The 17,163-nt window shown below is 35.5% G+C and overlaps 1 protein-coding gene across 6 annotated transcripts in view, besides 2 other annotated features; it reads right to left on the bottom strand.

Moving 5' to 3' along the window:
- SESTD1 (SEC14 and spectrin domain containing 1) overlaps nt 1-17,163 on the bottom strand; it is a 163,155-nt gene that overhangs the window by 37,317 nt on the left and 108,675 nt on the right. For all 6 annotated transcript variants that reach the window (XR_007084411.1, NM_178123.5, XM_047446274.1 and 3 more), the window contains 4 exons: nt 12,284-12,397; nt 10,303-10,400; nt 7,408-7,463; nt 4,598-4,809 (listed from right to left, as the gene is read on the bottom strand). Coding sequence is in view for 5 of the 6 variants with exons in the window: in NM_178123.5 (NP_835224.3) it covers nt 4,598-4,809; nt 7,408-7,463; nt 10,303-10,400; nt 12,284-12,397 (480 nt within the window). In the remaining variant the exon portion in view is untranslated. The remainder of the gene's footprint in view (nt 1-4,597; nt 4,810-7,407; nt 7,464-10,302; nt 10,401-12,283; nt 12,398-17,163) is intronic.
- Nucleotides 2,246-2,415: an enhancer, noted in NCBI's record as "experimental_56716 CRE fragment used in MPRA reporter constructs". NCBI's record gives its function as "activates a minimal promoter by MPRAs in K562 erythroleukemia cells, with activity observed for both the introgressed and non-introgressed 2:180006052 variant alleles {active_cell/tissue: K562}" and the evidence as "EXISTENCE:reporter gene assay evidence [ECO:0000049][PMID:34662402]".
- Nucleotides 12,335-12,504: an enhancer, noted in NCBI's record as "experimental_56717 CRE fragment used in MPRA reporter constructs". NCBI's record gives its function as "activates a minimal promoter by MPRAs in K562 erythroleukemia cells, with activity observed for both the introgressed and non-introgressed 2:180016141 variant alleles {active_cell/tissue: K562}" and the evidence as "EXISTENCE:reporter gene assay evidence [ECO:0000049][PMID:34662402]".

The raw sequence follows: 17,163 nt of genomic DNA on the forward strand, positions 1-17,163 counted from the left end.
CAAAACAATTATGTAATCCTCATTTTTTTCCTTTAAAAATGTTTGTCTTCCTTTACCTCTCTGAATATGCACACAGCTTACCATGACATGCATATTCCCATTGTAATGTTCTATTCTCTAAAACAAATAATATCTTCCTTTTAAAGAGCCCCTCACTGTTATTTAGGTTGACAGTGATAATTTCACTCTTCGATTCCCCACAAAGAAAATGTTTAATCACCTCCACTCTATTCAAACCACTGATCCTCTTTAACCATCACCCCTGCAATTTGTACCATCAAGCAGATGGCCTTTTCCTCTTTATGAAAAAAAGACACATCACACAGTGACTCCTTCAAACTTCCTGATGCCTGATTTACATACAGAGCACCTCTGGACTCATCTAAAACCGCCCCTATAAACTTTATAAAATTAATCAGGGAAGAAAGAAGGGGGAGAAATGAAAATATACCAAGCTTGCAGCATGTTGAACATTAATTGTTAGGTCAGATCAGTTTCACCTGCTTCCTCATAGTTGTTTGGTGCCTATTGACCTAGAATCATGGACCCTGTTTCAAGATTATAGTTCCCCTTAACTGTTCTATAGATAACAACCTAAACATTATGAATCGTTAAGTTTTCACTTTGAGACATTCCTTCAGGTCCTGCATACTGACAAAACTACTGTGCCAGTTGGTTTGAAGGACCCCACTGACTCACCTGGTCTGAGGGGCCCCACAAGACACCGACTCACCAATGATGCAGTTTCCACATCCTGCTGACTTCATCTCCCTTGCCTCAACCAATCAACAACCCCAATTTTCCAGCCCCTTACCCTACATGATCCCCTTAAAAACTCCAGCTCAGAACTCCTCGAAGAGATGGATTTGAGGGTCTCCTCCCATTTCCTTGCTCGGTGCCCTGCAATAATTAACTTTGCTGTATTCCTGCTGTCTGTGTAACTGGTCTGTTACTGGCCAGAGGAACCTCATGGTCCTATGGTAATCCTAGCCATCCTTCCTGCGACACAGAAGGAGCTCTCGCTCTTACATTCTAAAGCGAATCCCTTCTATTGTGCTTTGATTCCGTTTACGTCCACCTTGTTGGGAACTCGATAGTATTAATTATTCCTTCTCTCTTGTGTATTCAACCTCTCCCCCTCAACACTTTCAAGCAATCTTTAAAGTTTTTCATATCATGAAAAGAAAGAACAACTATCCTTACCCCTCCTATAGGCTGAACTGTGTCCCTCCCCTCAAAAATACATCTGTTGAAGTACTGACCCACAGTACCTCAGATTCTAACAATATTTATTAGGAGACAGTCTTTAAAGAGGTAATTAACCTAAAATAAGGTCTTTAGGGTGGGCCCAATCTAAATATATGACTGGTATCCTTATAAGGAGAGGAAATCTGGACACAGACACATACAGAGAGAAGACAATGTGAAGACAGGCAGAAGATGGCCATCGTCAAGTCAAGGAGAGAGGCTGGAACAGAGCATTCCCTCACGGCCCTCAAAGGAACCAATCCTGCTGACATCCTGATCTCAGAACTGCAAGAAAATAAATTTCTGTTGTTAAATCACTTAGTCTGTTTGCTACGGCAGCCCTCGCAAAGCAATACAACCCCTCTTCCACCACTTATAGCCATTACTCTATTTCTCATCTTTCCTTCAGAGACAGTTATCAACGACTTGTCTATACTCATTGCTTCCTTCACCACACCTCCCTTTCATTCCTGAATTCACTCCACTGTTGCTCTTGGCCTTGCCACTCCATGCCCTGTGGTCACCAGTGACCTCAATCTTGTGCTTTCTAACAGACATTTTAAGTCCTTTTACTCAACCTTACAACAGCGTTTGACAGGGTTATAACTCCTTCCCTGAAATGCTTTCTTCCCTTGGTTTCCATGACAAAGAACTCTTCACACTTTCTCATCTCTGGCCAGTCCTTCACTGCCTTCTTTTCAGGTGTATGCTCCTCTACCTTGCCATGAAATGTCAGAGTTTCTCAAAGTTCAGTTTAAAGCACTCTTCTTACCTCTCTCAACTTTCTCTTCGGACAATTTTCAATCACATCAATGCTTTTAATTACCATTCACGCACAGATGACAAACAAATATACCCCAGCCCAGACTTCGAAGTCTGGACCTGTTGTGGACTACCCTTCTACATATTCTCTTAGAAGTCACAGTCACCTCAAACTTAACAAGTCTGAAACCAAACTCATGATTCTCCACACTATTTTGCATCCACAGTAATATCCAAATCTTGCCCAATGTTCCCTAGGTGGGCAACACCATTATCTTGCAAACTAGGACACCAAGTCTTACAAGTCAGAAATATGATTCGTCTCTAATATCTTCTTACTCATCCTAATCCTACTCCCATCACTCTCCTTGTTGGCACCTGGCATAGCTGCAATTTCACAGCTGTTTGTGTCATCATGTAATTATCTCCCATGAAGCAAGAACCCTATTTTTACTCATCATGACATTGCTGAGCCTAGGACAATGTCATACTATTGTAGACATTTTTTTTTTTTTGAATGGATGAACTAATAGATGTTATTAATAGAAGACTCATTATGTGCCAGACACTAAATATTTTATAAAAATTACCTTCTTTAATTCTTGTAACAGTCCTATTAAGTAGGTATTATTGTTGTTGCGGTTACTGTTGTTATCCTTTGCTTACTGAAGAGGAGACTATGACATAAGGACCTTCCTTTTCCCCAAGGTCAAGCAGCTTGGAAGTGGTAGAAGAGGGTAGATTCAGATTATTTGGGTTCAGAATATGATTTTTGTACTGCTCTGCTACTCTATCTTAGTGGTTTTCTAAGATAAGCTAATGGGCTAAAACTTACCTGAATTTAAAACAAACCCTTTAACTTATGAATGAAGTCCATGGAAAAAGCCACATACAATTAACGTATGCTCAGAAATCTCCAGTTTATATGTGGTTATCATGGAATAAATTCTAAATCCTTTTGCCTGAAATTCAACATCTTCCATGATCCAACTCCTTCCTTCCTTCCTTTCAAATCTTTTTTTCCCATGACATCTTGATGCTCTAATTTGAGAAGCCACGAACTAGATCAATTGTGCAGGCCAATTCTGGCCCACCACCTGTTTTTGTATAATAAATAAAAGTTTATTGGAGAATGGCCACACATATTGGTTTATACAATGTCTATATCTGCTCTTGTACTATAATGGAAGAGTTAAGCAGCCACAGCTGCAAGAAAGACCGTATGGTCCACAAAGTCTAAATGTCTGGAATTTTACAGAAGTTTGCCAGCAACTACACTAGACCTCTAGAGTAGAGTCTAGTTCAAAAGAAATACATATAATAACTACCACTGATTGAGAGCTGGGTTCTTTCCAAACACTAGCCTTTCAAAAGGGGTATTATTATTCCTGTTTCAATTAAGCAAAGAAGGCAGAGAGGGAAAGAAAGAGAGGAAAAGAGGAAAGAAAGAAGACAGTTCAAGCGAGGCTCAGGGGTGAAGTATCGTGAATGGTCACACAGCTAAGTGAAGAAACTGGGATTGGGATCATGCTCTATGACTCAAAAAGGCCATCCACTTCCCACTGTGCCTACTGCTTCCTTTTTCCTCAACAGAACTTGGGATTCTACGCTGCTATGATTTACCATGCTACTCTTCATCCTCCACAAAATGCCAGTTCTTTCAAAACCTATCACTGCCTGGTGAAATCAGATACATTCTGGGAGGACAATCTCAAATGCTACTTCCCCCACTAAGTCTTCCCAGATTACCTGAAGCTAGAGAAATAATCCATCCTATAATTGCCCATAACCTCTCAGTCATGTCCTTGTGACCCTTAACACTTTCTCTCCCTAAACTTATTGATAGTAAAAACCAAGTCTACCTTTATATCCTGTAAAAAACCTAGCACAATGCCTTCCACAGAGGAATCACTTAATAAATGTTTATCTAATGAGTAAATGAACCTAGATTTAAAAACTAGGACGTTTCCAGTTTGCATTTTTAAATAAAATATTCGAAGATTTATTTTCTTAATTATTCAACATAAAAATCCAGAGTGTAATCTAAATAACAGAAATGTCTCCCTTTAGTATTTTAGCCTACTTTTCTTATAAAAATAAAGTTTAAAAGAAATTAAAATTCCTAATAACTAAATACATTTAATATTTTCTATCAATATTATAAAAAATTTGATATTAGAATCATTTGCATTACATGTGTTATTTTGTTAGGATAGAAATACTCTTTGTAATACCTAAATTAACCAAAAAACTAAGTTATTAGAAATTAAGAATAAATCAAGTATCAATAATGAAATGTTATTTATTGCAAGAATACACTGAGACCACTGATGACGTTTCCAAGAACCAGTTATTTTTGAAGTTCATTGTTACACTAAGCTGAATGCTCAATGTCATCACTGTGAAAATAACATAACTTTTAATTCAAATACTATTTGTAAAACAATACATAATTTAAAAGTTTTAGAATCCAGTTTGATGTGTTCTAAGGTTTTCTATATAGTGTATATAAGACTTAATAGTCAGTCACATAGTAGAAATTATAAGGAATTAAAAAGAGTTAAATATATTCAAATCAGACACCTACCTGCATTACCTTCTGTTGAATCTCTTCTAACTGTGTGCGCTTGCTACGTTGCCTACAAACTTCCTGGTAGCGGGTATATTGCTCTCGGAGTGAATCTAATAATTTCATAACCTGTGGCTGTGCAAGAAGTTCATCATCCATAGGAGACCATGAAACCCCTCCGTCTGAGCCATTAAATCGACGCTGCTGTAATTCGGACAACAATTCATGCCCTTTACAAATAAAAGATACTTGAAATTAATATCTGTAAAGAAATGTAATTCTCACTTCTCAATATTCCCAATTCTAGTCCCTTGTTTTTAAAACCTATCTACCTACATATCTACCAGGTTATAAATGGAATTTAAAAATGTATGTATCACAATAAGTAGGAAAACTGTACATATTAATATATATATGTGTGTATGTGTGTGTACATATATATTATGTAAACTAGATAGTATATTAAAATGCTATATCATATATCATAAATATACGCACCTTAGAAATACTATACTACATATTAAATATGGCATACATACGGTTTATATTTTTTTTTATCAATCACATTTTTGTTATTGGTGAATTCATTACTCAGGATACTGTGCCAAACAATCCTATTTCCCTGTAGAGCAAAATTATACTGTGGGATTTCTGTCTGATGGTACTAATCCAAGTAATATGTTGTAGGATTTCAGTATTAATCCATATTCTCAATCACAGCATTTAAAAAAAAGGTGACAGTATAATAAATGAATGATTAAAGGGAGAAAAGTTTTTATTACAAGTACAAAATAATATTTATATAATCTCTATTTATAAGAATCTTCACAATATATTAACTGTGAATAATAACGGGCCATACTAGTGTTAGAACTGCAATGAATGTGACTCAATTACAGCAAACTCATGTAGAAAATCCACTCATACATGAGAAACTACAATTGTAGAATGTGCAACAACTAAAGCTGTAGATATTAAATAATTTTAAAAGTAAATAAGGTAAAAATTGTTTTTGTGACTAATATTCAGGCATCAAAACAATACACATATTTAAATTCTCTTCCTTATTTAGAATAATATCTTAAATTTAAATGGCTTTCAATATATAGCAACTGAACTTTTATTATGGTTTGGAGGTATTTCTAATTTCTAAAAGTACCCATGATTGTTCTAAACCTTTTTGTTTTATACTCTCTTTCAATACTTACTTTAAAAGTTAATAGCATATAAAATAGGACCTAGTAGCATATAAAATTAAATTTACAATAGAAATTGTAAAAGCTTCTTAATTCAATGAATTAAAATAAAAAGCTTTCAAGCTGCTAAACATATATATGGAATTAAGTTTTAAATCTAGAGCAGTATTTTTACTGACAGTCTATTGTACCTGCTAAATATATAATAATTCAGAGATTACAAGTATTTCTTTGTTCTCTAACAAAATAAGCTGTATATCATACTGGAAGAACTTAGGACACCTGAATCAATACAACAAATATATTCAGAATTTACTTCTTTATTATTTATTACATTTTATAATTGGAAAAATAATTGTTTTAAAGGTTTGTGCAAAGTCTTTTTATATATATTCATAAAAGCTATGAATATCAGAATACATTTATTTTTTTCTACTTTGACAATTGTCACCCTTGATTATTTTTCTTGTCGATATCATTTTCATTAGAGAAGCAGCATAGCATAATGATTTCAAAGAGCATGCCTTGAAATCAAACTGCCTAGGTTCAAGTCCCAGCTCCAGCATTTACTAGCTGTGTAACCTATATAAGTTACTTAACGTTTTTATGCTTCAGCTTTCCCATCTTAAAATTGGAATGACAATAGTATCTATTTCACAGGACTGAAATGAGTTAACATATGTAAAGTGCTCAGACAGTATGTGGCACACAGTAGGATTAGAATTATGAGCTATTATTAAAAAAAAGATCAGAAATAAAATTGAGGTATTTCAATTGGAAAAAATTACAATTTGATTCTCTTAGAGTTTGTGAAACTGCTACTAGAGATATTTGGGTTGGAATATACATATCAGGCAGCACTATGTGCTTGCACTATGTGCAAGGCTTTGCAAGGTGATAAGTGTTTTTACATCGATGATTATAAAACAGTAGAGCTTTGGCTTTGGATTTAGCTATGGAGAGAGAGCTTAATAGTTACTTGATCTTCGGCAAGTCATTTTGGCTTCCTGCAGTACAAAATAGATAAAATAATACTAATTATCTCAAAGGCTTGTTAGGAGAATGAAAAATAAAAATACATAAACACAATGTCTGGCACATAAGGAGTGTTCAATAATTCTCATAGCAACCCAGTGAAATAAAAATTTTCATCTTCATTTTATAGATAATAAATTAAATCCAAATTAAGAGAGAGATTATTATTAATTTTTAAAAATATTATAAAGCTGCGGTTCCCCCCACCCCCACCCTGGGCCACAGAGCAGGAGGTGAGCGGCAGGCCAGCAAGCATTACTACCTGAGTTCTGCCACCTGTCAGATCAGTGGCGGCACCAGATTCTCATAGGAGCACAAACTCTATTGTGAACTATGCACGCGAGGGATCCAGGTTGTGTGCTCCTTATAAGAACCTAATGCCTGATGATCTGAGGTGGAACAGTTTTATTCTGAAACCATCCCTCACCCAGTCCACAGAAAAACTGTCTTCCACAAAACCAGTCCCTGGTCCTCAAAAATTTCCCCTTGAGTTCCTTCCACATGTACCACATTCATGCTGAATTCATGTTTATTTAATGAACGAATCAATCCAATTGGTTTACTGGATTATTATCACAAATATTTTTTAAATCTTACCTGTCTGAAGAACTGTTTCAGGATCAACCGATGGAAGAAAGTTTAAATCCACAGACCTGGAAAACACCAAAGGAGTAATTTTCAAAAGGCATATTTCTATCAATGTAACTTTAAAAATTCCTTTACATATAAAAAAACAGAACAGGGGCACAAAAGTATGAAAATCTGAAGCATACCATCCTACCATGCTAACTTCTCTCAAGCATAAGGAAGCCCATTAGGAAAAGTAAATACTAGTAGCCAGAGAAATACCAACGTAATAAATCATAAAATAACTACTTGGAAAAATATAGTTTACTGTTTTTAGTCATAATATTATTTCAAATATATCAAAGAAGTCCATTTAGTATTTATCCAATGAGTATTTGTTTCAAAATGAAGTTTGTCATATAGTAACCCAGAAATGTAACATTAAAAAATGCATGCAGCCATCCTCCAGACAAAACTTTATTTACCTACAGCAATCTTTGATAGCTGTGAATATTCTGTCTTATATTCCAGGGGTGTGTGTGTGTGTGTGTGTGTGTGTGTGTGTGTGTGTCCTAGCAGTTGTACTCTCTTCCCTAATCATACTTCTTGTGCAGCTGGACATCTGCCTTTATTTTCCTAAACACATACAGGAAAGAAAAGATGAAGGAAAGAAAGGGGACAATGACCTTGCTGCTCTAACTGACTGGTCTCATGCTAAATTTTTCACTTTTTGTCAATGGATCTAGGCCCTCAGATGCTTCCTGAGGATTGACATAAAGAAGGTTGAAAAAAAAAACAGACAGCTGATAAAAATTTGCAAGAGGAGGGACTCTATTATCTGGGATCTGGGGTTTAAAGGAAACTAAGCAATAACACGTCAGTTCCTTGAGGAGGAACTGGCAAATATAAGATTTTGATATTTCATGTAGTCATGGAAACCAGGACTTCCCAAAGTGTTTCCCAAAACACTGAACAAGATATGTTTGTTTTTTTGTTTTTTTTTTTTTTGAGACGGAGTCTCGCTCTGTCACCCAGGCTAGAGTGCAGTGGCGTGATCTCGACTCACTACAACCTCCGCCTCCCAGGCTCAAGGGATTCTCCTGCCTCAGCCCCCTGAGTAGCTGGGACTACAGGTGCGTGCCACCACGCCTGGCTAATGTTTGTATTTTTAGTAGAGATGGGGTTTCACCATGTTGGCCAGGATGGTCTTGATCTCCTGACCTTGTGATCCACCCGCCTTGTCCTCCTAAAGTGCTGGGATTACAGGCATGAGCCACCGCGCCCAGCCTGAACAAGATATGTTTTAAGGAAGCAATTAAATAGGTTTCTTTGCTGCACTGCTTCTTCAGAACCTTTAATCTGCAATATTCACAGTCATTCTCAAAGAGGGAAATACAGTCAACAGCATCAAACTCTTTGATCATGGACTCATTTTCTATAGTCACCAACATGGGATGTCTTTCCCAAGGAATATAACTAAGAAACATCAAACTTACTCGGATGGACTATTCAGAAAACAAGTCCAGCTAATTTTCATCAAGTAACTCATGATATTTTCACTTCCTAAACCACAGCATATATGTGTGTGATATCTACAGACACACAATCACATATTTATATACATATACAAAATTTCATAATTTTACATTTTTATACGGCATCTGTAGGATGGAAACATTCCTAACTGCTTGTGACTTTAATCAGATTTACATTCAAACCGTTTGTTTTCACAGTTTGACTTTGTTTTAATCAAGATTTTGTGTTAAAACTATGATCTTACACTTGAAAACTTGATATGTGACTATATTTGGATTCAAGGAATAACAACAAGCATTTTATTAAGGTTCCACTGTATCTTCAAGGTCAGATTCAAAGGAGACAGATCGGATGACAGGGAACACCAGGATTCTTTCACATTTCCTAATGAAAAATTACTGTTTTAGTGACCAGTAATAATCAAGTGGCCTGAATAGTTAATTTGCTTGCTAAAGTGCTTTTTATCTGAGGAGGAGGACTTGCTCTACCAACAGAAAAGTGAAAGCTGACAAGGTTGTAAAGTTCAAGGGAAATCTGTTAACATGATAAATCTAGGTAGTTACATTCAGATAATACCACTCAACTATTACTTCATTGCATATCATAAAACACTAAATTCCCCAATTTGAATTCATGAATATCACATATTTTACAAGAGCAGAAAAAGTTCTATAAGCTAGACATTTAAGTGCTAATGTATTCAAATAAGGTTATAATAATTGTATTTCAAACTGCAACTTTTTTCATATTCTTAACCAGGAAAGAAGATAACTCTAAAAAGGTAGAAAAGTGTTTCTTTTGAAAACACGTTCTTGAAACATTTTACATAGTGTCAGAAAAAAGTAAATACATTACTATTAATTTAAAAATGGGCCGGGTGCGGTGGCTCACGTCTGTAATCCCAGCACTTTGGGAGGCCGAGACGGGCAGATCACGAGGTCAGGAGATCGAGACCATTCTGGGTAACATGGTGAAACGCCGTCTTTATTAAAAATACAAAAAATTAGCCGGGCGAGGTGGCGGGCGCCTGTAGTCCCAGCTACTGGAGATGCTGAGGCAGGAGAATGGCGGGAACCCAGGAGGCGGAGCTTGCAGTAAGCCGAGATAGCGCCACTGCACTCCAGCCTGGGTGACAGAGCAAGACTCCGTCTCAAAAAAAAAAAAAAAAAAAAAAAAAAAAAAAAGGCTTTTGTGAAGAAACTCTGATTCAAACCAATACATTTTACATGTAAAGCAAATTCAAATTCTCACGAATATTGTACGTCAATTTTGATTGAATGAAGACTTTGTTTACTGTAGTTCTTTTAGCTTGCATTAACAATAGAGATATCTTTTATCAGAATAATTATAGTTTTGCAAGGATATAATTGCATGCCACTAGCCACCTACCTTTCTTTCTCTTGCTGATTTCCTTTATCACTTCCATTGTTAATCAAAGCAAGTTCATCTAATAATGATGTAGATTCCTTTGTAAACTTCTCAAAAACCTACAATATGAGTTTTATTAACATACTAAGAACAGTCTTAAAAATTAATATGTAATAAGGATTGTCAGTTAAGAGTAATAGAATTGGCCAGCTAGGATATGTTTTCCTTCCCCAGCAGTTCGTGCAATTCTACCACCAGAGCACAACAATGTACCCAAGAGAAGACAAAACTGTTTCCTAAAGCAATGAATAGTTTCATGGATAAATAATTTTTAAAATTTAAATACATCAATAAATTATCTTCATTCTCCATTCAGATACGTGTTTCTTTGAGAAACATTTGCATCGATAACAGTTCTAACTACATACATGTAATTTAGAACACGCTAAGTCTCTAATAACAGTTACAGAACACTTCTTTATGTTATTCTATCACCAACACATGTTGGTTTCACATAATAGTTGTTATATACATGCATGTAGCATTTAAAATTAGTTATAATTTTAATGATTTCTTCAAATATTTCTGAAAAGGAATTTGGGCAAGTCTGTTTAAGTAATGAAGTAGACAATCACTTGACTAACACCACTTTTTAAATATGGTGGAAATAGGCTGGGTGCAGTAGCTCATGCCTGTAATCCCAGCATTTTGGGAGGCCGAGGCAGAGGGGTTGCTTGAGCCCAGGAGTTCATGACTGGCCTGGGCAACATGGAGACTCCATCTCTACAAAAAATAAAACCTTCGTCAGGCATGGTGGCATGCACTTGCAGTCCCAACGACTTGAGAGGCTGAGGTGGAAGGACTGCTTGAGCCCAGAAGTTAAAGGTTGCAGTGTGTGGTGATCATGCCACTGCATTTCAGCCTGGGGTGAGACCCTGTCTCTAAATAAATAAACTGGGTGGAAACAGAATTAGTTATCCATTCAGAGATAACCAAAAGTTCACCATTCTCCAATAAAATTATTATTTAATCTAAAATGAGTTAATCTGACGTTTGTTCTTTCAGTAGTTCAATAAAAAAAAAAAATCAAATTACACAGAGTTGCAGATTTCAGAAGTCTAGAATGCCAAAGACGATACATTTTCACAAATGAAAATGCTTAATCTGTCAAACTGCTCTTCAAGTTGATAATTCAAATTAATGTTTAAATATCCTCTGAAAATGGTATAGCAACTAGATCACCTCAAGAAATTATGCTACTGTTGGCTGGGAGCAGTGGCTCACGCCTGTAATCCCAGCACTTTGGAAGGCCGAGGCAGGTGGATCACGAGGTCAAGAGTTTGAGATCAGCCTGACCAACATGGTGAAACCCCGTCTCTGCTAAAAATACAAAAATTAGCTGGGCGTGGTGGCGCGTGCCTGTAATCCCAGCTACTCACGAGGCTGAGGCAGGAGAATTACTTGAATCCCGGAGGCGGAGGTTGCAGTGAGCTGAGATTGCGCCACAGCACTCCAGCCTGGGCAACAGAGCAAGACTGTCTCAAAAAAAAGAAAAAAAAAAATTATGCTACTGTTATTCTAATTAAAAATTTTACAACCTTTACTGATGCTACTAATGACAGAACAGTAATAGCTAAAACTTATACAGTGCCACTATATCATGTCTGGTGCTGTTCTAAATGCTTTATATGTATATTCATTTCATTTTACCCATAATCACACAAAGGTAGGTACTATTACTATCACCATATTACAGATGTGGGAATCAGGCCAAGGCAAGATTAAACGCATTGTTGAAGGCCTAGCAACTAGAATCAGGATTCTAATCAAGTAAGTCTGACTTCACAGTATTTGTCTATTATGCTATAATGTGGTATGCACATATTTCTCCATTTTTGTAAAAAGAAAAATAATCTATATTTTAATAGACTAAAATGATAAAGTTATCAAAATATATCTTATTTCTATGCAATAACATTTTATCTCATTGTAATATACCAACCAGCCTCTTATTTAACCAGTCCATGTGATCATAGGTGAGACTCCCACCAAAATCTTCTGTTAATTGGCATGGTTCTATATAACGAGTCAATTTGTTGGCGGACACTAAAATAACCTATAAAAAGGTTAAAAGAAAAGAAACATTTAGTAACCCACTATTAAAATCCACGAAAGTAACCAGGAGGTAAAATTAGGTTAAAATATGCAATATTGTTTCCAACATGATGACACATTATCATTTACTTAATACAATATTTAAAACCAATTCAATAAGTTATAGATACCTGATAAAAAATTCATCAAAAATTTTTTCTAATACCACATTTTAAAAAACAACAGGTACCAGCAGTTCAGATGAAATATTTTCAAAAATATTTTATCTTGTTTCTTTGTAATAAAAATCAATAATCAATTCCTTAATGCAATGAAGTAATAAAAAATTTTCACATCATCTTAAAATTAGCTAAGGACATTAAAATGATAAGCCCTATGAAGAGTAAATCTGGCAATCAAAAAGTTATCCATTTTAAAGTTTTTCTAATGTTCCTTTGATTACATATAAACAAAACAAGTCCTCCGGTTGTAGAGTATAACCCACAATAACGTATGCCAATATTTAATTTTTAGTAAAAATTAGAAGATCAGAGTATTTATAAACTTGAAACGTACATATTAAAATGCTAATCTTTTAACTCTAAACTTAAAAAGATTTCAAATACAAATTAAATAAGTACCTAAGAGACCACTGCAGAACTAAATAAAACTTCAGTGAAGATACACATGCATAAAAAACAAAATACATCTATGGAAGAAAGATATTCAAATGGTAGTGTTAATACTAAATGACATATGGAAATGTGAATTTATTAAAAATGACTTGATAAGAAAAATAATGTGTCTGGCTGGAAAGAGCATCATTGCCACTCTCACAATAACAAAAGCCAGACAATCTGCAAAATTATAACTTTTTCTGGAACTCCTAAGAAAGCTGAGGTTACAGGGAAACCTGTAACTAGTTTGAAGTTGAAGAGAAGGCAAGCACCACAGAGAGAAAGGTGAAAGGGGCTACCACAGAGCGCATGTGCGAAATTTTTGGAACTCTTCTGTATCTTGATTATGGCAAAAATTATGTGACTATATGTGCTTGTTGAATCTCATAAAACTATATGCTAAAGTATGAATTTTACTTCACATAAATTATACCTCATAAAACTGACTTTAAAAAAATTTAAAAAACAACTTAAGGAGGACTTGTGGAAGAACTCAGAAGGAGACAAATGAAAAATTTAGAAACAGACACAATATGTAAAACAAGGTACATCCATACTGTATATGAAGTTATAATATCAACAATAAATAAGGAGAAATTACCAAGACTGCTTTGCCGGAAGAGGGAAAATTTCATCCTCAGGAAGACACCAAAAACATTGCATGAAAAATTCATAGAACTATGAACTCTATCAAATTTGAGTGTACAACAAATTGCTATTGATAACAATACATTAAATGGAAATTAAGTCTTAAATATTTATATGAGGAAACAAAGCCTAGTGAATAATGAGCTAAGTGACCCATCTAAGAAGTCAGGAGAGGAAAAAGACAGAATAAGTCCAAAGAAAATAGAAGAAAGGAGGTGAAAAATCAGAAGTAAATATAAATTAAGATATTACAGGGGCTCAAAAAAGCCGAAACTTATTTCTTGAAAAGACTAATGAAATCAACAAACTTCTGATAGGAGGAAGCAAGAAAAACAAAGTACAAATAAATAATGGTAACAACATAAAGGAGAATACCATTTCGTTGATAGCAATGGTTTAAAAGACATTAAGGACACAAGACAATTTTGTGCCAATACCTATAAACTCAGAAGAATAGACATATTCCTATTAAAAAGTGTAACTTATCAAAACTGACATAAGAAAACAATACCTACAACCAATGAAGTGAATCATTAGATTCTTTATGTTTTCAGTAATCATGCTGTTAGTGATAGTTTTAGTATTGCCATTCTGCAATCACTTGATGAGGAACAAAGCCAGTGAGTGAGATGGGATATTATAATTCTGCCATCCCCAACAACCTTAAGAAAATGGCATTTTTGGCAAGGGAGGAAGGAAGATGTGGGAGAGAAAAAGCATCCTTACAGTGCTCGTTTTAAATTGGAAGTATCAGTTTAAACTCCACAATATATTTCATTTTAAATGAACACACACACACTCTCTCGCTCTCTCTCTCACACACACTTATATGTATGTGTATTTTCTAGTTGTGTCCAATGGAAGGTTTAGAAATAATGACCAATTTTGTAGAAATGTATGTTCCTAGCATCCAGACTGTGATCTCTGAGTACCATTTCTCATAAAAAAGAATCAGGTTTTGTTAAAATAGCATTAGTCAAAAAAATAATAATTTTAAAAGAAAATAAAAGGAATCACACCATGATGAGTGAGCTTGGAACATCTTACCCAGACATCAAAAAAGCTATCAAAGACTACTATGGTTGTGACGAAAGGACATGAAAAGGCTTCCACTGACCAAATATGTGACAAGTTACACATCAATAAGAATAATAAATGCCATGAATCGAAACATTAAATACGCTTAAATCAATGAGTGCATACTGACACAAAAGAAATAATCACCATTGGACTAAGCTAGAGAACACACTTATTATAATGAAAACGAGACTGGGCACGGTGGCTCATGCCTATAATCTCGGCACTTTGGGAGACCGAGGCAAGAGGATTGCTTGAAACCAGGAGTTTAAGACCAGCCTGGGTAATGTAAGAAAACCCAATCTCTACAAAAAAAAAAAAAAAAAAGGTGTGTACTTGTAGTCCCAGCTACTTGGGAAGCTGAAGCAGAAGGACCACTTGTTTCCAGGAGTTAGGCTGCAGGGAGCTATTATTGCACCACTGCACTCCAGCCTGGGGGTCAGAGAACCCCATGAAGAAAAGAACGGAAGGAAAGGAAGGGAAGGGAAAGAAGAAAGGGAAGGAAGGAAGGGAGGAAGGAAGGAAGAGAGGGAGGGAGGGAGGGAGAGAGGGAGACAGAACAGCAATAAAGAGAAACAAGCATTTATTTCACTTTTCATATACAAACTGTATTACTGGATAGACAAATAATAAGTTTCTCATTATAAAATGATTCCAGCTAGTAAATGAAGGAATAATAGAACTAGATTATCATTTTATAATTTTTAATGAAGTAAGAGATCTAGACACTGAACATTAATGGCTGCTAACGTCACAAAAAAGACAACTATTACAAATCTCATGATCAAGGAACACATCACCACCTGTGAAGAGCCTTAGAAAAAGGAAATCAACTCTAAAACTAATCACTGTCTAAATCCAACTATCAATTTATAAAAACACATGTAAATTATACCACAGGGATACTTTCAGAAATATGCAGACTACTGGAAACTCTATAGGACAAACAATTTGGTCTCTTAAAAAAAATGTATACGAGAAAGAGAAGTTAAGATTAAAAAGCTGCATTTAATAGACATATACAGAATCTCATAACCAATAATAAGAGAATTACATGTTCTTTTCAAGCAAGTATGAAATATTTTAAAACTTGACTGTATATTAGTGCATAAGAAAGCCTCAGCAAATTTCAAAGGAATATATAATATAACCACAAAATTAAGCTGGAAATCAATAATCAATCATATCAGCAATCCGTATTACTGATTTCTAGCTCACTGTAGTCTCTGCCTCCCAGGTTCAAAGGATTCTCCTGTCTCAGCCTCCCAAGTAGCTGGACTACAGGGGCGTGCCACCATGCTCGGCTCATTTTTTTTTGTTTTTTAGTAGAGACGAGGTTTTACCATGTTGGCCAGGCTGGTCTCACATTCCTGACCTCAAGTGATCCACCTGCCCTGGCCTCCTAAAGTGCTAGGATTACAGGTGTGAGCCATCGCATCCGGCCCACAACTCTTTTTTTGGGATCCACAGAAAGGCTTTCACACTAGGGAAATTAAACACAATCAGATCCCAGAAAAGAACTTTTCCTTTCTCCAAAAATGTCAAGCAATATATTAATAAGATATATAACTATATATACTAAGAATGAAACCAAGCAATATACATTTATTCTATGAGTAAATAAATTACTTGCTAAATTGAGCATGAATTCACATCTGAAAAGATAAAATCCCAGAGCACTCTCTCCTGAAAATGCAGGCCGGGCATGGTGGCTCATGTTTGTAATCCCAACGATTTGGGCAGCCAAGGTAAGAGGACTGCTTGAGCCCAGGATTTCGAGACTGCAGTGAGCTATGATCGTGCCACTGCACTCAAGTCCAGGCAACAGAGTGAGATTCTGTCTCAAAAAAAAAACAAAACGTAAGGATGGTCTTTTTGCTCTTCAATTGCATCTTATTTAACGTAATATTCTATTTAAATACTGACAAAAATCTCTCTTTTGAGAAATCCCACTATCATGTCCCTTATTTATTTTTAATTTTCCATAGGTTACTGGGGTACAGTCAGTGTTTAGTTACATGAGTAATTTCTTTAGTGGTGATTTGTGAGATTTTGGTGCACCCATCACCCGAGCAGTATACACTGCAGCATATTTGTAGTCTTTTATCCCTTGCTTCCCTCTCACCCTTTCCCCCAAGTCTCCAAAGTCTATTTTATCATTCTTATGCCTTTGTGTCCTCATAGCTTAGCTCCCACATATCAGCGAGAACACACGATGTTTGGTTTTCCATTCCTGAGTTACTTCACTTAGAATAATAGTCTCCAATTTCATGCAGGTCGCTGTGAATGCCATTAATTCATTCCTTTTTATGGCTGAGTAGTATTCCATCATACGTGTATATATATATATGTGTGTATATACGTATATATGTATATATATGTGTAT

Source organism: Homo sapiens, chromosome 2, assembly GCF_000001405.40.
Source record: "Homo sapiens chromosome 2, GRCh38.p14 Primary Assembly".
Taxonomy (NCBI): domain Eukaryota; kingdom Metazoa; phylum Chordata; class Mammalia; order Primates; family Hominidae; genus Homo; species Homo sapiens.